Genomic DNA, 27,264 nt, shown 5'->3' with positions numbered 1-27,264 from the left:
CATTTGGCCAATTGCTACACAAGATGTTTGGTCATACCTATCCAAAGTTCTTTTAATACACTTCCAGCTGGATGATGCTATGTGAGGAGCAGACTGTGGCATGAAGCCATCCATTGGTCCTCTCCTAACCCAACAGTTTTGTTTCCCTTTGGGGTTTATCCATCTGGCATGTATGAAAAAAGTCAGTCTCCATCTCACTCCTCACTGCCTTTGCATATATTTCCACTCTCTACTCAGAGTCTGGAAAAATCGTGCTCATGATTTCCCAGATTCTTATCCCCTAAAGGCAAGGTGCCAAAGAAGGAAAATGTGATTCCTTTTCCAGAACTCCTGAAGTCAATAAAGTTTCAGCAGGCAAGCATTTTTAAGCCATACTAAGTATTGATTCGAAATAAGCTTTCTCGTTCCCATTCTCTTGGGTATACTGAGGCAGCAACACATGAGTCTTCTCCTCCCAGGGAAATCTGTCAGTTTAAGAGTCAGTTGGTGTGTAGCTAGGCATATTGACTGATGAAGATTGAGGATTTTAATACAGAATTAGATTTTTCGTTGTTAATCCACCCAGAAAAATAGTTTCACGGGGCTATTCAGAGGGGGTGCTTCTTGGCTTTAAGTCCCGTTTCTGTCCATTAGTTCTTTTAGCCATCACTGGAAGAAGAGTGTTGCTTTTAAGCAAATCTATTATTTTTGCTCTCATACTCTTTTGATTCATTGCATATGCAGCTTTGAACCCCTGGTGGAGACAAAGTTTCCAAAGCTAGGGTAGAAAAGAGAGATGGGGTTCTATGGAAACAGAAGGGTCGTTTAATTTTTACCTTGACCTCTGAACTCACTGAAGTTATGTGTGTAGTATTAAGCCTGAAAGGGTGGTGGTTGTCTACAGTTCTACAAAATACTAGATTTGTCAGGAATCAGTTATAATGAAAGTGAATGAAATGACCATATAGCAATCTGAATTCCCCCTGAAGAATTTGGAAATGTCAAAGCAGACCCTGTGATTGAACCACAGTAATCATATAGAGCGGGATTGAAATGTTTTTAAATGGCTCTCCCAACTCTATGCTCCTCAAAATACAATGCGGAATTAAGAATACTTAAATATAGTTCTTTGAATATATAGAAATATTCACTAATAAATGTTTGGTCATGGTGCCATGATTTATTTGGATTGAAATCTTTCAAAATCTCAATGTGAATATTTTTCTAGAAATATGAATGAAAACCTCTTTTTTCCAGTCACATGCCAGTTTTCAACCCTGCTGGCTTGAAATTTAAAAATAACAAACACCATATTTTATTAAAGTATTTGTAACTGACTTTTCTATTAAAGGTGCTACAAGACAGATGATTTTTCACCATCTACCATAATGTGGAACAGATATTTTGTCTTCTATCTCCTGCTTTTGTCAGCGTTTACGAGTCAAACAGTATCCGGACAAAGAAAGAAAGGACCAAAATCAAATTTGCTTGCAAGGAAAAGTGATGTCCAGGGTAAAAAAAAAAAAATTGTTTGTTTTTAAGTTTAGCCTGTTAAAAATACTTATGTGAATTTTTCTAAATAGCATTTGATATAAATAGCAAGCCATATACATGTATACATGTGATAGTCTACTTTGATAAAATTATATGATGATAATATACCTTACATACTTATAGCACATCAGAGTCTTTAATAAGAGCACTTGTGCACTTATTATCTCATTTGAGCCTCACAGTAACCTTGTAAAATAGGCAGGACGGAGATTGCCACTCATAGTGTAGATTAAAAAAATTGAGGTCTTAACAGGTCGAGTGGCATACTCAAGGCCATAGGCAAATTAACCACTGAGACACAGAGCTGGGATTTAAACTTAAGTTGTGTTTAAGTTAGGTTTCTTCTCCACTTACTCTTGGTATAGGGGGTATAGTCATTTTCTCCCTTGATTTCAAGAAAGTTTAAAAAAAAATAGGGACTCACCAATATGACACAACCTGAGAATTAGAGTATCATTTACTTCTAGACAACTATGCTCAGTGTTAGTTGGATTTTTAAAATGTGATGCATCTTGACTTCCCATTTCCTCCCACTTTCAGCAGGTTTAACATTGAAAAGATGCTCAGAATAAAAGATATCTTATTTATTTTTAATTTGCATGATTTTACAAGGAGAAAATAATTCATAAACTTAGACATTTAGTTTTTTACAATTGAAGCCTTCTGTCCAACGTGTCTCTCTTTCTCTCCTCACGCTGCTCTCAACACCAAACAATATACAACACACCACTTCAGGGCTTTCCGTATGCAAATTTGTTTCATGATAGGAATAATTATTTTGCCTAACCTGTTTATTCTGTTTCAGGCTCCATTTGTTTCATAGATATTGTCTTCATCGTGGACAGCTCTGAAAGTTCTAAAATTGCCCTCTTTGATAAACAGAAAGATTTTGTGGATAGCTTGAGTGACAAGATTTTCCAATTGACTCCTGGTCGCTCCTTGGAATATGACATCAAACTGGCAGCCCTTCAGTTTAGCAGCTCTGTCCAAATTGATCCACCTTTTTCTTCCTGGAAGGACCTGCAGACATTTAAGCAGAAGGTCAAGTCTATGAATTTAATAGGGCAAGGTACCTTCTCTTATTATGCCATTTCCAATGCCACTAGGCTACTTAAGAGAGAAGGGCGTAAGGATGGTGTGAAAGTGGTTTTGCTGATGACTGATGGCATCGACCATCCAAAGAATCCAGATGTTCAAAGTATTTCTGAAGATGCCAGAATTTCAGGAATATCATTTATCACCATTGCACTTTCTACGGTAGTCAATGAAGCCAAACTTCGTTTGATTTCTGGGGATTCATCCAGTGAACCCACTTTACTGTTGAGTGATCCAACCCTTGTAGATAAAATTCAAGATCGTCTGGTAGGTACCTAATGGGTTGATTATACAGTTATCATCATAATATTGACATATTTGTTGTAAATCCCATAAGAAGAGATACTGGGTCAAAAAGATGGAGAAAATGAGAGTTAACACTGAAAACAGAAAGAAGAATCTTTCTGAAGTGTCACTCCACTTTCTTGGCAGTTTACTCCAGACAATCTGGAAAAGTTCCAGGCTAATTCCCTGGAATTGCATTTTTAACTTTATTGCTAGCTGATGCTGAGGATTTTGGAAGGGGTTATTTTCCAATCATATACCTTAAGCTCCTGTTTATACAGCCTACAATCATGAACATTGCTGACTTATATTCAGGTTGTGCTCAACTTGAGGTGTTAGGCTATATTTGTACCAAGTTGGTCTTTTCCCATTCCACATCTGTACAGGTATTTTTGACATAATCTTGACATATTCTCTCTTACTCTTCTAAAGGACTGAGTATTTTTGACTCTGTCTCACCTATTGTTACATTATGCTACTCAAAGTTCATAGACTTCCAATTTTTAAAATTACCTCCTTCTTTCTTAGATGTTCTCAAGCCCATCCAATTTAAAATCATCTGCAACCTGCAGTCAAGCAACAGTTTCTCCCATCAAATCAATGAGTCCCACTTGATAGGTCTGGTCAGCTTTTCTTTGTTTGTTGCTCAGCTGTGTATAAAAGCCTTTCCTTGCTGCTTTGTAAAACACACGGCACCACAATCAAAAGGAAATCCCTCTTCACAATATTTCTCAAGGAGAAAACGCCTAGAGATAAATTGGTTGATTGGCTGAGTGTTAAAAACTGATTTTCTTAAAAACTTGGATTTCTTTGATTTCCTGAGAAAGGAAGGCAAAGGTGTCCTTTATGTACTGAGCGTTTCATATGGCTGTTTTCTACAGCTTGCACAGAAAACTCAGGCTCTATTTCAGAGATTGTTTTGCTCCTTTTGTCTTATCCCTCGATCTTTTTCTCAACATTACTCTTATCTTTTTACTCTCTGTTGCTTTCAGCATAAGATCTGAGGTTTTCTTACCTAAATAATAGCTCTTAGGTATTGAGTACTCTCTCTGTATTAGGCATTTTCCTGAACACTTTATATATTTTATTTTATTCAATGTTTGCCACAATCTTATGATGTAGGTAATGTTATTATACCCATTTTGTAGTTGAAAATTTAAGGCCGGTGAAGACCTCACAGTTTGCATGCTTAACCCTATAAAGGCATATTGAGAGAGGAAATAGTAACTGCTTTTTAAAAAAATATTTTCTCAATCAGAACTGCTCTGAAACAGTTTGGTAGCAGCCCTCCTCCAAAGTTACTATTGTTTCTAGCCTTTTTTTCCTTGGGGATTCGGGGTAAATGGGAGAGTTATGCCTAGATCAGAGATAGAGCTGATGGGCCCAGTCCTGTGGTGCTCAAGGTAAGTACTCATTCTGAGCAGCTCTTTTGCATGAAAGGGAAATTTGTAGTGGTTCCTGGCTAACACTTAGCCCTGCCTGTGCCATGACTTAAGGGGTCCTCACCACTGAACATAAAACAGAGGGCTCCAGCCCGTGTGGGAGAGAATCCTGGTGATGTGGTCATGAGTGGGCTGTTGTTACTTATTCATCTTCACCTTAAGATGGATAAGAGCTGACCATAGAAGATGCGGGACAGGCAGCTCCTTGTTTGGCCACAGGTGTAGGCTCAGGTTGTTCATATTCCCACCAGATACACCCTCGCTGAGAGCACCTGCTTCACTGAGAACACAGGCTCTTGGCAGTAGACTGGAAGCAAAATTGTTTGTCTGTTCCTGGGCAAACAGAAAATGACTGAATACTGCTCTTCCTTAGCATCCGGCGACTTCAGCTTGTTTGTTTAGCATCTGTGATTTCAGCTTGTTTGTTCAGATGGAAGCTCCATGAATAAACCACTTTTTAGAAGGAGGTGCTGCTTTCCAAACACTTACAGGATCCAAAGTGCTTATTAGGCTCTTCAAAGAATGGTATACCAACTTTCAATGTTACAAATTGCCACCATCTAGAAGGCAGAACTTGACTCTTTTTTTTTTTTTTTTTGAGACAGAGTTTTGCTCCTGTCACCCAGGCTGGAGTGCAGTGGCACGATCTTGGTTCACTGCAAACTCTGCCTCCCGGGTTCAAGCGATTCTCCTGCCTTAGTTTCTCAAGTAGCTGGCATTACAGGCGCCTGCCACCATGCCCGGCTCATTTTTTTGTATTTTTGAGTAGAGATGGCCAGGCTGTTCTCAAACTCCTGACCTCAGGTGATCTGCCCGCCTCGGCCTCCCAAAGTGTTGGGATTACAGGTGTGAGCCATCGCGCCGGGCCCAGAACTTGACTCTTGATGAGACCATTGGAAAAATTCTTTATCTAATCCCTTTCTATTACATCTTTAGTTGAATTTTTAAACTTTTTATTTTAAAATAATTATGTAGTTGACTTTTTAAATAAGTTAATTAGGTATGATTTAAGTACACAACTGCATTAACTTAAAGGGCACAATTCCATGAGCTTTTGACATAGGTACACACCTATGAAACTACCAACACAATTAGGATAGAGAACATTTCCATCACCTCCCCAAATTGCCTCATATCTCTTTGTAAGACCCCATTTGCTCCTGAGCTACTGATCTTACTTTTGTGACTCTAGATTAGTGTATACTTTCTAGAATTTTATACAAACTCAAATAGTATGTATTATTTTTGTGTCAGGCTTCTTGTACCCAGTATAATGATTTTCAAACTCATCAGGGTTTTTTTCTGTATCAGAAGTTTACTCCCTTTTATTGTAGAATAGACTTTAGTTGAATTTAATGGACACGAGTATACAGAATGAATAGATTCTTCAGGAGCAAAGACAAAACAAATCATTGCAAATTCCTTGATGCCTCTAGTAGGAATTATCATGTAAGAACCCCATAGAAACATTTTAGTTCTGAATTACTCAAAAGAGACTTAATGACTCCAAATTGAAGAAGACATGTAATATATTTTTATTGCTATTTTTATTATAATTTACATAATAGTATTGAAACCAAACAAACAAATTCATTCCAAAGTCCTGGATATATTACTTGGTCCTGTAGAAGAGTAAGAGAGGATATGTGAAAATTAAAGACAATTTTTTCCCTCTATTGCCTTTGATGTTAAGTATTTAAAAAGCCTTTATGGAAATAAGGGTTGTGACAAATTTGTCTTTTTTTCTGAACGATTTTTAAAAAACATAAATTTAAGGTATTCCCTCCCTCACATACCAAGAAGAGATCAATGTGATGATGTCTATATCATCTTTAGAATCCTATGCTTTCTTAATCTATTAATTATGATCACTTTCCATTTTTTCAAGACTTCCTCTGTTTAGGGCCTTATTTTTCTGTTTTAGATTTTATAGTGGCCATTTTGCTACCATTTTAAGTTGAATTTTTTTGTCACAGGGTTTGTTCCCCTTGCCTACCGAGTGCTTTGCTGTCATTCCATGTGCTGTGATATTTGTCCATCCCTCACATGTTTTCTGTCCCCTTCTCACAGCATAAACCTTATACTCCTTGAAAAATTGGTGATTCCATTCTAGCATTCTGGTTTTGCATATATAGTATATGTGAATATATGCCATATATATGAATCCATTAATGAAATTCTGACTGCATCTTCTTTTGCTGTCATGAGACCCTTTCCCTATTTATCCTTTTCATTGAAACTCAAGCATGCCCCCAGTCTGTCATTGAACATGGCCTCCCGTCAGGCTTTGACACTGTTCTCCTTGCAGCCTGCTTCCCTGCCTGAGTGCAAGCCCTCGCCACCTCCCAAGGCCTCCGGCTCTGTCCATGTGGGCCCTTCCATCCACTCCCTTTAAATGTTCCTCATAACTACTTCCTTTGTCTTATTGCCCACACTAGTCCTTATGACTTTTTTCCTCATCAACTTTGACATATAGGACAGCATACCATCAATGGGTGGTCCTTTGCATTCCTCTCTTCAAAACCATCCAGAAAACCCACCTATTCCAAGAAGCCATCTTGTTAGCGGCTCCCCCGCCCCTGGCCTAGGACCTCCTTCCTACTCGGGTTGCTGTGTGTTGTCCTCTGTTCCTGGGGCTTATAGCCTATAAGAGCCCTCAGGGATGGGGCTTTGTTCTTTGTTTGAAACAGTCTTATCTATTGTGTAGTTTTGGGTTCATTTTTGTTTCCATAGAAATATAAATTCCAGCAAACACAAAATTAAATGAGTTCCAAAAATAGTTTTTTGCATTGCTATGGTTTTAAGCCTTATGCCACATATTTCTAAAGAGCAATATGGCAAAGAAGAAATTGAATTTTAAAAGAAAGAACTGAAAAAAGTATAAAATTACACATCAGGCACAGTAAGAGCTGAATTCGTGAATTTAAAAATTGATTAAGATATTGCTTATTGTGGCTAGGTGCGGTGGCTCACACCTGTAATCCCAGCACTTTGGGAGGCCAAGGTGGGTGGATCACTTGAGGTCAGGAGTTTGAGACCAGCCTGGCCGACATGATGAAACCCTGTCTCTACTAAAAATACAAAAATTACCCTGGCTTGTTGGCGTGCTCTGTAATTCCAGCTATTTCAGAGGCTGAGGCAGGAGAATTGCTTGAACCCAGGAGGTGGAGGTTGCAGTGAGCCAAGATCATGCCACTGCATGCCAGCCTAGGTGACAGGGCGAGACTCCATCTCAAAAAGAAGAAAAAAAAAAGATATTGCTCATTGTTAAAAGATTTTAAAGTGACAAATATTTAAATTTTTCTTTATTTCAGTAGTGGTTTTTAAATATTACAATTTGACTTGAATTATTAGTTGTTTTACTGCCTCTGTTGAACTTCTTTTGAATTTCTTTTCTCTCTCTTTCTCCCAGAGGAAACCACTCTCTGACGTGGTTTGAAATATCTTACGTATTTTAATAAATCAGATCATATTGTATGTATCTATCTACAACTTGCTTTTGCACTCAATGTTTTTTTGGAAATTTTGTTGAAATGTGTAGATCCAATGCATTCACTTTAACTGCCGAGTAGTATTTCATTTGCTGATCCATTCCACTATTGGCAATTATTTTATTTACAGTTTTTCATTACAAAAAACAATGAATGCTGAAATGTGCAAGTGCAAGAATTTCCCTGTGGTATGTCTAGAAAGGATGTCAGGATAACAGGCAAAAGCAAGAATTGTCCTGGCAGCCTCGTGATAAAGCAGGTCCATCTTCAGCCTTGTAGGCATAACCAAATGTTCTACAGAGGGTAATACCATTTTAACTAAAACTATCAGTGTATCTGAGTTCCTATTTCTCCATAGGACCTCCTAGCTCTTAAAGATACAAATATCTCATCTGCTTTCAGCCTGGATTTACATGGCTAGTAATTTAAAATCGTTTGGTTGGGAGGGGTGGTAGGTGAGACTCTAAATTTTGTAGCTAGTGTCTGTGGCTAGGGTTTTATAGCTCCTGAGATCATGTAGTCAAACTTTGTCCTTTTTTATATATGGAGAAAATTACCTGGAAGGATTGTATGACTTGTCCAAGGCCACATAGCTAGTTAATTGTTGAAACGGGATGGAAACCCAGAATGACACTTAATTCCCAGCCTAATTTTTTCCCTATTAAATCATTAAAGCATTTTGTTATCTCGTCCCTCTATAGTATTAGTTTGTACGGAAATAAAGTAAAAATAAAACTAAAGGGATGCAGCATCCTTCATAAAGCTACATACTCTTATTTAACTTCCTTGTTAGCTTCTGCATTTTTAATATCTTGCAACAAATATTCCAGTGCTTGCTCCTTCATCTTTCTATTTTATCGTATGTAAATTACCCCTTCAGATGAAATCACAAGGCACTGGTTTGACACATAATTTCTAGGTTAAGAAAGTACTAATTCTATATATAAACATAGATTAGTTTCTTTCCAGCGTTTGTCTTCCAACACAGCCTTCAGTGCACTTGTCAGGTAATATCCCACTGAATTCAAGTATGGTAGTGAGGCCTAGGTGTTAGACAAAAACAAGATCATGACATTTCTGCAAAATTATAAATTTAAAATAGTTTTGAAAAATATTCTGGCTAATTCATTCCTGTATGGTACATATGACATGCACTGAAGACGGTCAGGAGGTGCAGCCCAAGTGTGTTACCTCAGTTGAGTCACATTATGGTGGAACCATGTTTCCTTATTGCAAAGCAAGAGGTTGAGTCTGATTGACTAAGACTCATTAAATTTGTTTTTTTGTTTTTCATAATGATCATTTTTTATTATGAAATATGTATTACTTTTCTATCACTTAGTTTTTCCCCTAAGTTAGCCAGTTATAAATGTAAGTCCTCTTTTACATAAGTAATGCATATTGCTATGAACAGTTCAAAATTTTTACCAAAATATTATTCCTAATACTGTTTAAATTTAAAAGCTGAGTATCTTTTTTGGCTTCTGTTGAAATTCTGTAAATAAAGTATCATATTGGAGGCTTTTCAAATTTGAAATAGAAAACTCCTCCCCTAGTGATCATAATAATGGAAATCTTTGTCTTCTCATAATTCAGATCATCTCAAAAAATGTCACTGGACTTTGTAATTTTCTCTTTTTGAGTTTTAATATGATCTAACACCCATTAATATTTCATGAAGTTATGACTATATTGTTTTAATCTTGAAAAATAAATCATGAAAAATAGATGCATGTATATGTGCATAGGGATGGAAAAAATTGAAAATATACAATTATATATTCTGCCTCAGTCTTTGTATGTAAAAGTGAGAGCTTTGTCATTATGACTGATTAACTTTATAGTCAAATTATGGAGATTACAGAGCTGATAAAGGAAACAAAAGATAAAACATAGAATGCAGTAAGATGAAGTTCCTAGAAAATATAGGTTAATTTTTAATGGTAGTTATATCTCTTATTATTACATGGCTCGGACTGCTCCTTGGGTGGTTGGCTGGTTGGTTTTATTGCTTTTACAAGTTTAAAAAGGCTGAATTGCTATTCTTTGTGGAAACTTCATATCCCATAGGGAATAGTTATGACTAATAAGTAGCTGGAGGCAGAACTATCAATCGAGTTAATGCTTCATTCTTTTTTCCCTTGTAGGATATCTTATTTGAAAAGAAGGTAAGCACCACATGCTTTGATTACTACGAATTACTCCAAACACTTGCATTATCAAATCAGCATTATAATTCACATTAGAAGATTAAGTGTGACTAAATAAAAATGCTTAGTTCTTTTAAAATGAGCCACTCTATTCTGAGGCAGCCATCTGATTTCTTTTATACTACCATATTCAATGCAAGTTGGAAAATTTAGAAAAAGTAGGAAATATTGAATGTGACTCCAGGAGTGATTTTAGAAATCAGTCATGAGCAAACTACATAGTTTTTGCTTACTTTGATGTGCTTCCTTTATTCTAAGCATGTATCTGACATCAGCCACATCAGGTCCTCTATTTTGGGGGGTGTTCCTGGTGTTGGCTAGGTTAGGCAGAGGGTTCCCAGCTAAGAGACAGAGTCTAGAGTCATCCCCTGCTGCCTGCCAATTGACTTTGAGCTCATTCTCCTTATTGTGAAGAAAAGGCAGCCTGATGATGGCAACCAGACCACGTGGCAAAGGAAACTGGCCAATAAGATTGGACGAGCCTTAGCACAATAGATAATCATCAGCTTGCTGAGGAGTCCTGTCCTGGACATGCATTTCTTAAAAGAAAGAGTTTGGAACATCTGAGCTTTGTTCAATGAGCTGCTTATTTAACATCAGGAAATTTACAAGTATTGTTGCATAAAATAATAGGAGTCAACCAAACCTACGTCACACCATGTTTTATTGAATTGTACATGTTCGGATATACCATTATGTTATGTACCATTAAGAAAGGAAAAAAAAAACGGCCAGGCATGGTCGCTCACGCCTGTAATCCCAGCAGTTTGGGAGGCCGAGGCAGGTGGATCATGAGGTCAGGAGATCGAGACCATCCTGGCCAACATGCTGAAACCCCGTCTCTACTAAAAATACAAAAAAGTTAGCTGGGGGTGATGGTGCATGACTGTAGTCCCAGCTACTCAGGAGGCTGAGGCAGGAGAATCACTTGAACCCAGGAGGCAGAGGTTGCAGTGAGCCAAGATTGCTGCTGCATTCCAGCCTGGTGGCAGAGTGAGACTCCCGTTTAAAAAAAAAAAAAGAAAAGAAAGAAAGGAAAAAACCCTTGCTAGCTTATCTATGATACAGTGTCTTCTTATTAATTGCACTTTTTATTTTATACCTGTGGAAATAAGTTTTTAGACATTTTGGATGTAGATTTTAAAATCCTGTATCACTTTCATATATACATATAAGGGAATATGTAAGCAAAATAACTTGGTTATTTCTAAAACTTCTTCACATCAGACTCTAAATCAAGCTTGTCCAACTCGCGGCCCACAGGCTACATGCAGCCCAGGATGACTTTGAATGCGGACCAACACAAATTTATAAACTTTTTAAAAACGTTATAAAATGTATGCACGGCCCTTTTTTTTTTTTTTTTTTTTTTTTTTTTTTGCTCTTCAGCTATCGTTAGTGTTAGTGTATTTTATGCGTGGCCCAAGGCAATTCTTCTTCTTCCAATGTGGCCCAGGGAAGCCAAAAGATTAGACACCCCTGGTAAATCTGAATCATTTTTTGTCTGAGTTGTTGATGTCCTTGTTTTTCTGCGTAATACTGACCTCTATGCCAGCAAAACCATTGGTGATGAAGCATTTCTTAAGTATGTTCTGGAATTTTCTCCCATTTCATTCTGTAAGTTTTGAAGTGCATGTGCAAAAAGCAACTACTTTGTCATGACTGAACCTGGTCAACAGCTGTTATAAGACTCATTCTGATTTCAGAGTTGTTAAAATGAGGAAGAAGGTGCATCTTACAATTATCTTACAATTAGTAAAATATGCTATAAGTCAAATGTTTTCCTTTGCCTAGTAAAGGAGCATTTAATATTATTATATTATTGAGCTTTGATGTGTTATATAGAAGAGAAGGATCAGAAATTCTAAAAGTCCACTGAAAATATTTATTTTCTCCTTTTAACTGGCATCTATATATTATACATGTATTTTTGATGGGATGTCTTTTATTTAACTATGCTGAAATTTAATAATATTTTGTTAGCTAGCTCTTGGTAGGTATAAATTTGCCTGGAATAATTTAATAGAGAGAGCAAAACATCCATAAATGTGCAAGGTAAAATTTCTTTGAGAGTGCTCCAGTTGGTTATATACTGAATACAATTTGAAATGCTATTTGAAATTTATTTGAAATACACTTTGAAATGTATTTGAAATACAATTTGAAATGCTGCATACAATTTGAATTTCACTGTGTGTTAATATCATATTTCATTATTGATTCAGTGTGAACGCAAGATTTGTGAATGTGAGAAGGGAGATCCAGGTGATCCAGGGCCTCCTGTGAGTATACTTCCACTTTGAACTTAAGTCAGAAAGTCCTAGCAATGATAGCTCTACTCGCTCTTGAAAACATCGGGGCTATTTTGCACTGCTGAAAAGCAATTGTTTGGAAATGGGAGGAAAAATGGAAATGCTACTTCTTTCTTTTATTTCTAAAGGGACACATTCTATCCTTAGAAATAAGCCTGGGATTTTACTGACCTGAACTGAGGGCAGGTGTGTTTTGAAGTTGTTCCCACAAAGGACATTTATATTCCTCCTCATAAAATAATTGAAGCCAGAATTTCTCAATAGTGAAGTGAATACAGAAAAAGCTAATACAAATAATCAGTGCTTTAAGCAAAGCTTTATCCTACTAGAAACATGGAGTACAAGCCTCTCTGAAAGTTAAATGTTGGCTTCACACGAATGCAGCAGTGCAGCAGCAACACCGTGTGGCCTCATGGACAGGAAGCTGGTCACGATGCTTTGGGGGATTAGGGTGAGTTCTGTGAAATGGAAGTAAGCACATGGCAACCAAAAATAAATGGCAGGATTGACTATGATGATTCATTGTTTGATAAGATAATCCAGGAAGGAGTGCTTTCTTTATATTCTGGCCTAATAACTGGTAGGTGCCATGTCTGTACTGGGAAGGCATTTGAAATGACATCTAGATCACTGGAAATGCTGAGCATTTTTTTAACATTTATCTTCATAAAGCATTCACGTGCTCATTCAGTCTTCTATTTATTTGTATAATTCCAAATATCATCCTTAGAGTTCAGAAGAAGCCCTATGGAGAATCTCACAAAATGCATGGATAAAAATTTTCAACTAATGCTTGTATTTGGGGGTGGGAGGGGAATGTGTACTGTGAATGAATTAGAATGTGACAAATTTTACCTTGAGACTCGGGTCCAAAGCCTACAATTTTTCAAACCATCCTACCAATCAAGGGATGTTTTTCTCCCCAAATACAAAGTTAGATGCGTTATATGATAGTGGGGCAGCCAGTAGAAGCTGACTTTGGCTAAAGCAAAGGTTTAGCCATCCCTTCCTATAAAGTCTTCGTTTATCTCTATGACACCAAGAGATGGCCAGGGTAAGAAATATTTCTTTATATTTTAAAATGAGCAATAAGAAAGCTCACAATTGCTAAGCACCTGACAATTTTAGTCACATTCTTGTCACATTTTAGTAGGGATAAGCCACAGAATATGTTATTTAACATTATCGAGTACCCCCAACACCATTTCTCAGAAAAGCAAGCTTTCTGGTTGATTAGGAACAGGAAAACAAAATGCTTTTCTGGAACAGGATTACAGAGCTCCTTTCTCCCATCTTTTGAGATTGTCTCCTGGATATCAGAACCTCTTTGACCAAAGGCAAGCAAGCTAGCTTGGTCCTTTTAAAAGTGAGTGACAGAGGGAATCGTAGAAGTGACCCACAATGAAGAGAGATTGGGAACAACTCCTATCCTTCTGCCTGTTGCAGCTACTCTTTTAAATCTTTGCATGAGTTTGATTTTGTTTGCAAAACTGCTGAGAAGTGATTGTTTTGGGAAGAAGTAATTGGTGGGAAGAGAGAAACATTATTCTCTTTTGAGCAAATCTAGAAAATCTGCCAATTCAAGACAGTGGTTTTCCTGGTGTAGAAAAAGGGAGAAGAGAATTGAATTTCTGCTTGGCAGGTAAAGGTTTTACAATTCTCCCTCATTCTAGGAAACAAAACTGATCAGAAATTATTATAAAGTATAGAAAACAATAGAATTCCTACTTAAAATAATATTTTTTCCCTTTGCCTTCAGGGTACACATGGAAATCCAGGTATCAAAGGTGAGCGAGGACCAAAAGGAAACCCGGTAAATGAATAAACAGCTTTTCTTTAAACCAGCGTATCTCCTTCTAGACTTTTTTTTTAAAACAACAATTTTAAAAATAAAAAGCATTGTAGTATATGGCAAAAATGTGACAACTTTTGTGAAGAATACAGGATTTCCACTTCCTATATTATCTATCTTATTTCTATTAGCTTGAATTCACAAATTCTGAGTAACATATATGAACATTTTAGTCAGTAAGTTTAGGAAACCTAGGGACATTGAATAAACAGAAACTAGTACTTAAACGATAGCAGCCAATCTTATTTAGGATGATGATTCAGCAACTAGTAATATGTGTTCCATATCAGATTGACACTGGCACTTGTGTTTTTAATGGGTATACTTTTAATGATTAACTGACTGACAATAATCATAGAAAAACCACCAGATTGTTTCTCACTCCCAGAGCATCTTCAAGGACTTCTCGAATTCTTTTCTCTGTGTACCTATCAAAAAAAATCCCAGGCTTTTAAAGAAAACATTCATCTGTTCAGATCATTGTTAGGATTTTGGTTCCAAGTTCAAGAACAACAGCAGTAATCACAAAGAGAAAAGTAGATATAACTATGTGAAAATTTAAGGCAAAATTCTGTGTAATGAAAAAAATAATAATTAAAGAAAAGGGAGTGATATGCTTTGGTTATGTCCCCACTCAAATCTCATCTTGAATTGTACGTAGCTCCCATGATTCCCACATGTGGTGGGAGAGACTGGTGGGAGGTAATTAAATCATAGGGGGCGGGTCTTTCCCATGCTGTTCTTGTGATAGTGAGTAAGTCACATGAGATCTGATGGTTTTATAAGGGGAAGTTCCCCTACATAAGCTCTCTTGCCTGTCACCATGTAAGATGTGGCTTTGTTCCTGCTTCACCTTCCTCCATGATTATGAGGTCTCCCCAGCACTGTGGAACTGTGAGTCCATTAAACCTCTTTGCTTTATAAACTACCCAGTCTCAGGTGTGTCTTTGTTAGCAGCATGAGAATGTCCTAATATAAGGAAGGAATATTAAAGAAATAGAAATATCAGGAAATATTTGCATCAAATGTAATGGACATTGGGTTAATTTCTACAGTACACTGAGTTAATTTCTGAACACAATTTTCAAGAGAGGAAACAAAACTAGTAAAGAAAAAAGTAAAAGCACATTTAATTTCATTAGGTAATAAAATAAATTTAAATAGAGAGAATGAGATATCCTTTAGTAGTGATACTTACATTTTAGAAACTTTGGAATCCAGAGGATTATTTTTTTCTGGAAGTGGTTTTCTAGTTCACATCATTTGTTTTTGTGTGTGTTTTGACGTTTAAAAACATTTCTTTCATTATAGCAATTAACACAGCAATATTAAAACAATAATAACTAGTGATAGCAATGTGGCAGTGAAACTGGTTTGCTTTTCATTGCAGGTAACTTGACACAAATAGTTTGGGAAAAATTAGGCAATAAGTAAGAGGTACTCAAATACTAACAAAGTTAACTATTACATTAAAAATTAACTCAAAAATGAACTCTAAAACAGCCCTATTAGAAAGTTTTTAGAGAGGTAATGAAAAAAATCAAAAGTTAAATGCATAAAAGCATTTTTGGCAATTGTCTGCTTGTCAAGGAAAGGGAATATAGCAGCCTTGGATAGCTTTACAACATACACACACATGCTCAACCAAACAACCCTATACTCACTCATCTTATATACGTCCAAACTGATGCTATCATGTCTTCTTTTTTTTGTGTTAAATACCCATTATAAATGTAAGTTCACATTTTATTTCTTTGGTTTGTAATTTTGTGCCACATAATATATTTTCTTAAGTCTTGCTGAAATCAAGCAATCACTCTTGAGGACATTTTGGAAAACATTCCAAAGCCCCTTAGAGAAAAGCCAGAGTGACTGGCTCCAAGTGAGTATAATGATGTATTTGAGAACAATCGCTGTGTTGTTCAACTGGGATGTGGTGTAAGCTGTGAAAAGGTACCTGGATCCTGCACCCTACACATCTGGCTTCACTGCAAAGGGCAAAGTTTATCTGAGTTGCTATTTTTTTTTTTTTTTTGCCTAGATTGCATAGTGAAAATGTCAACGGGAAAGACTAAAGATGTTTCCTAATTGGGCTAAGCTATTAATCTTCTGTATAATGCATTTTATTGAGCAATCAGTCACTCTTCAGGGCTGTGGAATTTTTACTGTTTTTTGTTTGTCACAGGGCAACGCTCAAAAAGGAGAAGCTGGAGAAAGAGGTCCAGGGGTATGTACACAACTGGAATGCCTTCCTAAGAAAGTGATCCTAGGTTACTGATTTTGTGGTTGACCATTTTGACCCCCTTAGTGCAAGTGCAAAAGTGATTTCTATCTACCTTGTGCTCTTGATGGCTCAAGAAGGCAATCAGAAAGATATGATCTTAGAAGTGGAAATGTGGGGAGAAAATACTCAGCTAACAGAGTGAAAATGGGAGCAGGAGTGTTCAACCCTATCAAATTCTCTGATGCTTAATTTGACATTGGTGAAAGGCTCCAATGAGAAAACTGTTTGCTTTATTTCTTAAGTTTTTTAAGATAAAGAATAAGTTAGAATTTCAGGAGCATAAGAACTACATGGTCTAAACTATGCTTTTGTTAATCCAATTCTGCAGACATAATAAAATTTACCATTCTATTTGATTTCTTATACCCCAAATTAGAAGATAGTGGATATTGCCCAAGAACTAATTACAGTATATTTCTTATTTTGCACTTTTCTGGGCATTGCAGTAAGTGTATCAAATAGCAGAGATGTGTACGGTGCATAAAAAGAAGACCATATGACATTGCCCCTCTCTGCTTGTCCCCCTGGATGTGCCCTGGACTCAGACCCAGAGATGTTAAAAACTGTTCTCTTGGTATTTTGAATCAACTTCATTAAAAAATCTGATAGAAAGTTTAGTAATGTCAACAAAAAATCTGAAATTTGTGTTCAGGAAACATTTCTTAGGTATATTCTACATATAAAGCATACAAGTATGTAAAAATAAAACTAAGATAAAGTACTTGTATTTTTAAAAAGCTTATTATCTCATAGGAGAGAATTCTACGTTTATCTTCTATTCCTCATTGACCACACATTTGGAAGTTTTATTTCCTTCATGAAGTTTCCTTTTGTAAAAAAAGTCAGGCCAGGCACAGTGACTCATACCTGTAATACCAGCACTTTGGGAGGCCTAGGTGCAAAGATCACTTAAGGCCACTAGTTTGAGACCAGCCTGAGCAACATAGTGAGACCCTCTCTCTACACATAAATAAATAAATAGATAATAGTATTAATAAAAAAGTCATGCATAGAACAAAATTTTGTAGTCTGACTCACATGTAACTGTAATAATAGCTTATTTATTAAATAGGTTTCTTCAGCTCTCAATAAATCTGACAATTCTATTTCCATATTTGAAAAATATAGCTGTATGAAAGACAAAAAAATCCCATTTGAAGAGGACTTGCTGCTGCTTAGAGCTGGTGATTTCCCAGGCCATGTAATATTCACTATTGTATTTCTTAAAGGGCCATGGGCAGTGACACAATGGAAAAGGCTGTACAGGATTCCCAAGGGTGACACACAGAAGACAGTAGAAGTGCTGGCCTCTTATTTAGTGTGAGATAAAAGACAGTAGCTTAAAGGTCACTGTCGCATTAGGGCTGATAAAGGAACCTTTCATTTCCTTGATGTTATATATCTTAGACCGAATTTGTAAGGAGGACCATAATGGATACAAATATTTACACACATTTTAAAGGCCATTATCTCAGCTCATTTTCAAAGCCAATTTCTTTCAGAGTCTCTATGAAACATTCTTAGCTGCAATAGTTCATAGTTTAAAAGTCAATATAACAGTTTTGAAGGGACCATTATAGGCCATCACTTCTACAATGACTTTCAGTGTACATTATCTCCTCTAGTTTTGGGCCAAAGGGCAAGAAACTGGATATGGAAAAATACCTGAAACTGAGAATAAAATGTGATAAAGGGAAAACAGATTATTTTCTTCTCCTCAGTAAATGTATATTTCTCCAAGCACAAAGAGAAGTGGAACAGTTTACATTTCTATGATCTAATTTTCCAGACTGTATAGATGTGTTTTTGTTATACCTTGTAATTGAAAAATACCTAATCCTTATTCTAATTCTGCCTCAGAGTATCATATTTTACTTTTTATTTTCTTTTTAAATTAGGGAATTCCTGGGTACAAGGGTGACAAGGTAAGTTGGTAACAACAAATAGATTGACCAGAATTTCAAAAAGAAAAACAGAAACATAAGTGTACTTAGGAACTTAATAAAAGTTATTTTCTTTATTTTTGTAAGTCTGGATTCCCTCATTCCTGAGTTAACATAAAATAATAATAGAACTTAACATATGGATGTGTGTTGTAAGGGATGGAGGGTACCATGATTCCTGAGATTAGAATCCAGCCTCCTTCAGCTTTGCAAACATGAATTATTTTAATAGAGAACCCCAATTTATAAGCCATGCAGCACAGGTATGCAGGCTAAAAGTTTCTTTACACAAACAGATTCAGCAATACTGCAAATAGGTTGCACCCTTGGTGTTTAACTTCCTGTGAAAACCTAGACACCAAATCCTCTCCCAGGGAAAAGAGAGGATTTATCCTGGTTAAGCAGTGAAGAGCCACTGACTTCACTGAGTCAGCCAATTGGGTAGAGCTTGCAGGGGAGTAAATTTGGCAAACAAGCAAACAAAAGGTATGGGTTGGTAGATGATTTGATGATTATTTGCGAGTTACAAGTTAGGATACCAAACTGCTTTAAAAGGGATTAACAAGTCATACTGGGGCTCAGGAACCTCTGAGAGTGCTCACTGGTTCATTGATAAGTCTGTCCCACAGTTCTTGTTATTATCAGATTTTCTATCTGAATCAGAACATGCACCTATCATCCATTCCATCCTACAGGGCTACAACCTTCAGGCATGAGAAAGAGGCTAGAACTTTAGAGGGTCCAGCTCTGAGTCTCCTCTGGCCTCCCTGCTTCTCATGGAGCCAGGAGTCTGCAGGAGGTCTGTGCTTCCTTCTCCTGGATCATGCATTGGGTAGCCAAGACTTCAAAAGGCCTGCTGCTGGGAGGGCATACAAAAACCTCCTTTCCATATCCATCATTTTCCTAGGCTGGAGGGGGAGCCGAATGGTAGCTGTTTGTTGGGGCAGGAGAGGTCATGTAGCGGGCTTTGTTGTGCTACCCGGGGCATCTTCACGTGTGTGCTCATGCTCTTGCTGTGGAAGGAGTTGGAGGTGGGAAGGGAAGTTGGGGCCAGGCTGCAGGGGGCTATGTCTGGCAAGGACCTCTGAGGAATTCATAAGTCTTTTAATTCTTTATCCCTTTTGAAGACATATTTGTTAAGGAAGGAAGCCAGAACATTATTAGTTTAGTTATAACTTTCAACTATTTAGACACATGGTATGTGGGCTTCCACTTACACTCTTGCCCTGGGCCCTGCAAATATTAGGGGTGAGCCTACATGTAAGCCAATAAATATATCCTAATCGCTGGCAATGTTAGAACTCCAAGGGGAAGAGTGTAAGGAATCCCATGATTCTACACTTAGCAGCCTTAAGAACTTAGGTAACTCAATGTCTTGGAGTATCTGTTTCTTCAACTGGATGGAATACAATTTGTACAGGCCTGCCTAATTTACAGAGTGGTTGGAGAATCAAATAATGGGCGTGACAATGTATTCCAAAATGTTGGCTTGTCTACAAATGTAAGTGCCATTATGAAGAGGAAAGGAACAAATATTAATATGGGAAAACTAAAAAAGTTTCACAGTTGTAAAATTATCAACTGTGTGTATAGTTGAGGAAAATAGTGGGTGGCCCCCTCCTCCATTTTGATTTATATAGTGAGGTAGTTATCAACACAAGGAAGCTTTATACATATATTTTTTGAAAAGATTAATTTCACTTTCTGGAGAATTATTGATTCACTGGAAGAGTTCTCACTTGGAAAATACAAGCTGTCAGAGCAAAGTGACCCTGAACCATCGACATTCAAACCAGAATTTCACCAGGAGCAGCAGCATCAGAAAATAGAGGCTGAGAACAGAGCTGATCTGTTCATGGCTTTCTGAAGTACTCGCTTTCTGAAACCATGTAGTTGTGGCCATTCCACAGGGATTAATGAGCCCACCAAAAAGGAAAACGCCTTTGCAGAGGCAAATAACATGAATACAATATTTTCATTGATGGCAATCTGTGCCCCCCAAAAAACAAATGCTGTTCCTCAGGCCCCTATAGCTAACAAATCTGTCTGGACAAATGGAATGTGAATTGTAGCCAAAAGCATTTTGAGTGTATTTATGGTACTTTCTGTTTTATATTTTGGTGGTTGACTCATTTTATTCCCATCCAAAATTATTAAATTAATTGCTTTCTAATTGATTCTTCAAAAGTGATTTTCCATTTGCATTCAGAAATAAATGTTCAACTTGTTCTAAGTGAAAGCTCAGTTTTTCCTGGGTCAGTTTGACTCACGAAAGGATGTGAAGAGAGAACAGATTGCTTTTGATCAGAGGCATAGCTGGCTCTAAGAGTCACACCTCCCTCTTTCCTGCTCCTGATGCCTGCAAGAGCCCAGGCAGTACCCTAGGCAGAAATGTCAGGTTAATGGAAAGTGACTTGCAGCCTATGATAGTGTGCCTTGTTCAGCTACAGGTGACTGATAAGAACATGGACTTGAGAGCCTAACAGACTCAAATTTGTGGTCATGGACAAAGTATGTAATGTCTCTGAGCCTCATTTTGCTTATCTGTGAGTGGAGATATGTATATATACCTCGCAAGGCTGCTATGGGGATTAGCAATAATGTAAAGGCTATGGCACACACTTTGCATCCATAATTGGAGGTTACAGTTGTGATTTCCCTCCATAGAGCACTGCTGTTGAAACTGTGGTCTGCAGGCTGGCTGCCAGTCTGTGAATGGTTTGTTGCTATTCTGCAACAAGATAAAGCTTCCGCCAGCATATAAATCCACTATATTACAACGTATACTGTTTAAAGTTCAGCTGACATTTATTTTTCATAGCAAGACTTCCTTGATGAAAGAAGCAGTGCATTGATTTACATTTGAATGTAATTTCCTTGTCATTGTGTAGTGGCACTTCCAGTAACATGCCCTAGAGCAGTACAGAGGCAGAATAAAGAAGCAGCAGCAGAAGCTAGTGTTGAGAGCACTGGACTAGGAGTCATTGGGTAGCCTGTACATTTAAGTAAATCATTTGACATATCCAATTGTGTTTCCTTATCTTGAAAATGAGAATTGAATTGAGGATCAAAATAACGATATATATAAAAGCATTTTGAAAACTCTAAAGTGATTTATAAAGGAGATAATATTACTATGATTATGAAACTTTAGTCATTTTTCTGACTGTCACCTTTTAGTTCTAAGTAGTAGAAGTTTCAAAAGTCTGATATAATGGATTAGTATTCAGAGGTCCCAATTCTCCTTCTACTTGAGGAAACTAACCTTTTAAAAATATTTAGTTTTATTTAAAAAATTTAATGGACAAATCTAAAAAGTTCATATTTATTGTATTGTATAAAATATAATTTGATAAATGTATACATTATAAAATGGCTAAATTGAGCTAATTAACATATATATCACTTCACATAATGATCAGTTTTTGTGGTGAGAATGCTTAAAATCTACCCTTTTAGTGATTTTCAATACAAGACATTGTTATTAATGATAGTCATCGTGTTGAACAATAGATCTCTTGAACTTATTGCTCCTATCTAACTAGTTTTGTATCCTTTGGCCAACATTTCCCAAGTTTCCACCAATTACCCCTGGTAACCACCCTTCTACTCTGTGCTTCTGTGAGTTCAAATTTTTTAGATCTCACATATAAGTGAGATCATGCCATATTTGTCTTTCTGTTCCTGGCTTATTTCACTAAACATAATGTCTTCCAGGTTCAGGTTCATCTATGTTGTTACAAATGACAGGATTTCTTTCTCAAAGGCTGAATAATATTCCATTGTATACCACATTCTCTTTACTTAACCTTCTTAATTACAAAATTTTAATCTATAAAATTGGATTAATATTTATCTCAGACAGGTAATGTCAGATTAACTAAGATAAAATATTTATGATAAACTATCACTGATAAACTCTAAAGAATAACTCAAATGTTGTTTTTTCAGCAATATTCTAGGGAAGACAGGGAAGTAGAGCATAATAATGAAAAATATGTAGCATGCTTGCTGCCAAGCCCGGCTCTCCTACAGCAGTCCTCGCTAACTCATCATGGCACCTGTTCCCACTAACTCACGATGCAATCTCACTTCAGAACCTTTCTCTCACGGTTCTCCAGGTGAACACTACTAGGTGGTCAAGGTTGGTACTCAGGCTGAAGCATGGTGTTCTTGAAAAAATAGGAATTCCAAGTTAAAGTATCTGGGTTCAGACTCTGATTCTTTTACTTACTAGCTATTTGATAGAGGGAAATTATCTTGTTGAGTTTAAATGTTCTCAATTATAAAATAAGAATGATAAAGCTGATCTCCCTGGACCGTTATGTGGATTCAATTAAACCACATATGCAAAGGGCATCTAATATGTGATTAGATGCTAGGTTCCTTTTCTTCTAGTTTCATCCATTTCTTAAAAATGTCAAACCTTATTACATTGTTCCTGATTTATTCCTGTCAAGTTAAGGATGACTCTTGGGTAAAAATATTCAGATTTCAATGCCCATAAAACCCACAGTATTGAGGCTAATATTGTGTAGAAACCAAAAGAGTGCTTATGTTACAAGAGTCTGCTGGGAATTTAAAAAACAAACAAACAAACATTCTTAATAGTGAATGACTGCAAGTGTTCTCTTATTTATTTCACTTATTTATTTTTTAGGGTGAACGTGGGGAATGTGGTAAACCAGGGATAAAAGGTGACAAGGTAAGGAACATGTTTTTAAACTGCTTACAGCTGTGATCCCTTTTGGGTTGCGTTTCCTTAAGGGGAAATTCCTGGGCTGAATTATGGTGATCTCACTACTAGAGTTGGAATCAATGGCTCAATTTTTCACATCTGTAAAACATGTGGTAGAAAACAAAGTGATGCCTAACTCAATAATAGAACCCCCAAATGCCTTTTTTATGGACCATTAAGACTTCATTTTCTGACACCCTAACCTTGGAGGCCACGCCCACTGAATGTTATGGTAAAAAGAATTATTTAACCTGCAAAGTTAATTAAAGCTGCAGTTAGGTCAGGGTAGAAGTGCTTTCCAGATGCAAACACTGAAAACAGGCACTTTCCAAAATAGTGTGAAGAACTCTGAAATCAGTCAGTGAAATAGTTATAAACAGTGTGGTGCAACTAGACATAGAGATTTGGAATTTTGAAAATGTAGACACAAACAATTGGATAAATATTCACCTTTATTTTAAAAAATAAATATAGGCTGAACGCAGTGGCTAACACCTGTAATCCCAGCACTTTGGGAGGCCAAGGTGGGTGGATCACCTGAGGTCAGGAGTTTGAGACCAGCCTGACCAATACGGTGAAACACCATCTCTACTAAAAATACAAAAATTAGCCAGGCATGGTGGCGTGCACCTGTAGTCCCAGCTACTCAGGAGGCTGAGACAGGAAAATTGCTTGAACCCAGGAGGCAGACGTTGCAGTGAGCCAAGATCGTGCCACTGCACTCCAGCCTGGGTGACAGAGTGACTCCGTCTCAAAAATCAATCAATCAATCAATCAATCAATAATGAAAGCACTTAAATTTGGAAATAATATTATGTTAAAGAGTTCCTCAAAAGGCCAAATATATACAGAGAGTATATCTGAAACATGATGTTAAAGGGTCCAAAAAAGTACAGAGTAAAAATAAATAGTTTTCATTATATTAAGAACTATTAACATCATGCCACCAAGATACCAAACTTTTTCAGTTTCTATGTTATAATTCTGGAAGGGAGTCAAGGAGAGAAAATGAGGCAGAAGGTTAGGAGAAGAGGGTGAGATAATGACTTTGGCCCATGAAACTAAACACTTTAAATAGATTGAGACTTTCTGAATGCTTTTAAAGTACTGTAGAGTTAAAGTCAGGTGGATCTGCAAAAGGTAGGCTTGGTAATTATCTCTGGTCAAAATGGGAAATGTGAAAATGAATAGATTCTTCCTGGAGTATAACTGAACATGGAAGATGGACCTGGATATTGGCAATGCAGAAAAAGGGACACACATAGAATAGAATAGAAATGAAAGTCAAAGAATACCTGGGAAAACTAGATGAAATTAAAATGGTTGACAAAGGATATCATATTTCATTGACTAAGATGTCAGGGATTATTAAATGTCCCATTATTTTCCATACCAAAAAGGAATAACAACAACAAAAAAAACCCACTGCCAATTATAAATGTAAGGTGCAATTGACTGTAAAATATACCCCAATGTCAGAGATATAAAAATGTGAAAAAATGTGCCTTAGAACTGATGAGATATAGAGTCCTTGACACGAAGAGTTTACACAAGTTTGTTCAGAAAAACATATGAACAACATGAAGAGATAGAGAAGTGGAAATTAAAATGGCTAATAAATAAGAAAAATATCCGAATACAGTAGCAATCAGATAAGTGAAATTAATACATTAAAATTAGGCCGAAGTGGGAGGATCACTTGAGTCCAGGAGTTTGAGACCAGCCTGGGCAACATAGTGAGGCCCCGTCTCTACAAAAAATTTAAAAATTAGTTGGACATGTGCCTGTAATTCCAGATACTTGGGAAGCTGAGGTGGGAAGATTGCTTGAGTCCAGGGGGTTGAGGCTGCAGTGAGCTGTCATTGTGCCACTCTACTCCAGTTTGGGTAACAGAGCGAAACCCTGTCTCAAAAAAAACAAAATAGGCTGGGCGTGGTGGCTTATGCCTGTAATCCCAACACTTTTGGAGGCCAAGGTGGGCAGGTCATCAGAGGTCAGGAGTTTGAGACAAGCCTGGCTAACAAGGTGAAACCCTATCTCTACTAAAAATACAAAAATTAGCTGGGCATGGTGGTGCACACCTGTAATTTCAGCTACTCGGGAGGCTGGAGCAGGAGAATTGCTTGAACCTGGGAGGCAGAGGTTGCAGTGGACCGAGATTGTGCCATTGCACTCCAGCCTGGGGGACAGAGTAAGACTCCATCTCAAAAACAAAACAAAACCAACAATAAAACAATAAGGTATTATATCACCAGTGTGGGCAACTAGGGAGGCTGAGGTGGGAGGATTGCTTGAACCTGGGAGATAGAGGCTGCAGTGAGCTACTCCAGCCTGGGCAACAGAGCAAGACCCTGTCTCAAACAACAACAACAACAACACCAGCAACCAAAAGCAAACATACAAAAGTATTATATCACCTATCAAATTAGCAAACAGTGAAGTAATGTATAATACTAATTGTTGATGGGGAGCCCATAAGATGAAGATACACTCTCTCATACTCGGGTAGTGGAAATGATTAACAAACAAACTTTATGGAGGAAGTTTCTCTCTCTTTATTTCTATATATGGCATGAGAGACAAAGGACAGCCGGTGAACCTTAAATGTGCTTATGGTCTCTGCTTCCATCATCCTCTTCTAGTAGACTATTCTTAGGAGTGAATCAGAAGTTGGGCAGAGATTTATACATAAAGATGTTCATTATAATATTAGGTCAAAGCTAGGGAAATGAGTAAATAAATTATGGTAGTTCCCTATTCTTGACTATTATCTGTTTACTATGAGTTTTTAATGACATGGAAAAAGGAAATTTTTTTTTTTTTTTTGAGACAGAGTCTCGCTCTGTTGCCCAGGCTGGAGTGCAGTGGCGCGATCTCAGCTCACTGCAAGCTCCGCCTCCCGGGTTCACGCTATTCTCCTGCCTCAGCCTCCCCAGTAGCTGGGACTACAGGTGCCCGCCACCACGCCCGGCTAATTTTTTGTATTTTTAGTAGAGACAGGGTTTCACTGTGTTAGCCAGGATGGTCTCCATCTCCTGACCTCGTGATCCGCCCGCCTCGGCCTCCCAAAGTGCTGGGATTACAGGCGTGAGCCAGCACGCCTGGCCGGAAAAATATTTTTGATACAGTGTAAGGCCAAATGGGTAGGACACAAAATCAGACATACACTTTGATCACATTATTTGAAGAGGAATCTACTGGGAATAAAACTGGACGAAAATATGCCTAAAATGTTAACAGCATTTGCTTCTGTGTGATTTTTCAAATTGTTTATTTATATGTTTCTATAATTGTCAAAGTGTGTCAATTGTTAACAGGTTGTACTTTGATAAGCAAAAAAAAAAAGTGGAAATCTGGGGAAATAAAAACTAGACTATGTTCTCCCTCACAAAATAAATTTTAAAGGGTTTCCTGGTTATGGGACCGAATGAAATATTTTCTATTAGAAGAGTATTGAATATAAACAGTGTTTTGCCACGTTCAGTGTTTTGAAGATGAGCAAAAGAGTGATCTAGATAGCATGGAAATGCACTACATTGTTAATTTAACTGACATTACCCTGTCGGAAGGAAATAATATTCCAATAAGTTTATAGCCCTCTAAGGAATCTTATAAAGTAATTTCTTTACTGTAACCAAAATGACCAAAATGTCAATATGTAGGCAACGGACTTACATCTAAAATTGTATTTTCATGGAGATTGTTTACTGAAGGAAAGTTTGACACTCCTACCCCTTGGCTTGTTAATTAGGATTATTTCAGTTTATTGCCTTTGATGTTAAGATAACCAGGGAAGATGGCAATTACCGAGAACACATTTCCTTCCCTCCTACCTAAAATCACTGCACGTTGAAGATGTATATTTAGAGAGACTTATTTTCAATTTTATTCCACAGGGATCCCCAGGGCCATATGGACCAAAGGGACCCAGAGGAATTCAGGTAAGGGGGTTAAAACCAAATCTAAGTTTGAATTAGAATCACCTGGGGAGTTTTTAAACCATCCCCTTGCCCACTTGCACCCTCTGCCAGTTAAATCAGAATGTCTGGGGATTGAAGCCAGGCATTAATATTGTTTAA

At 37.2% G+C, this 27,264-nt stretch overlaps 1 protein-coding gene across 11 annotated transcripts in view; it reads left to right on the top strand.

The window, feature by feature from the left end:
- The window catches only part of COL28A1 (collagen type XXVIII alpha 1 chain), a 205,677-nt gene that overhangs the window by 9,628 nt on the left and 168,785 nt on the right, over positions 1–27,264 (top strand). For all 11 annotated transcript variants that reach the window (XR_926936.4, XM_011515360.3, XM_011515358.4 and 8 more), the window contains exons 2-10: positions 1,331–1,491; positions 2,339–2,895; positions 9,994–10,014; positions 12,282–12,338; positions 14,128–14,181; positions 16,406–16,447; positions 18,403–18,429; positions 23,108–23,152; positions 27,082–27,126. Coding sequence is in view for 10 of the 11 variants with exons in the window: in XM_011515360.3 (XP_011513662.1) it covers positions 1,368–1,491; positions 2,339–2,895; positions 9,994–10,014; positions 12,282–12,338; positions 14,128–14,181; positions 16,406–16,447; positions 18,403–18,429; positions 23,108–23,152; positions 27,082–27,126 (972 nt within the window). In the remaining variant the exon portion in view is untranslated. The remainder of the gene's footprint in view (positions 1–1,330; positions 1,492–2,338; positions 2,896–9,993; positions 10,015–12,281; positions 12,339–14,127; positions 14,182–16,405; positions 16,448–18,402; positions 18,430–23,107; positions 23,153–27,081; positions 27,127–27,264) is intronic.

The sequence above is a fragment of the Homo sapiens genome, chromosome 7 (genome assembly GCF_000001405.40).
Source record: "Homo sapiens chromosome 7, GRCh38.p14 Primary Assembly".
In the NCBI taxonomy this organism is placed as follows: Eukaryota; Metazoa; Chordata; class Mammalia; order Primates; family Hominidae; genus Homo; species Homo sapiens.
Note: the sequence above shows the minus strand (reverse complement) of the source record. Positions and strands in the feature narration are given on the sequence as shown.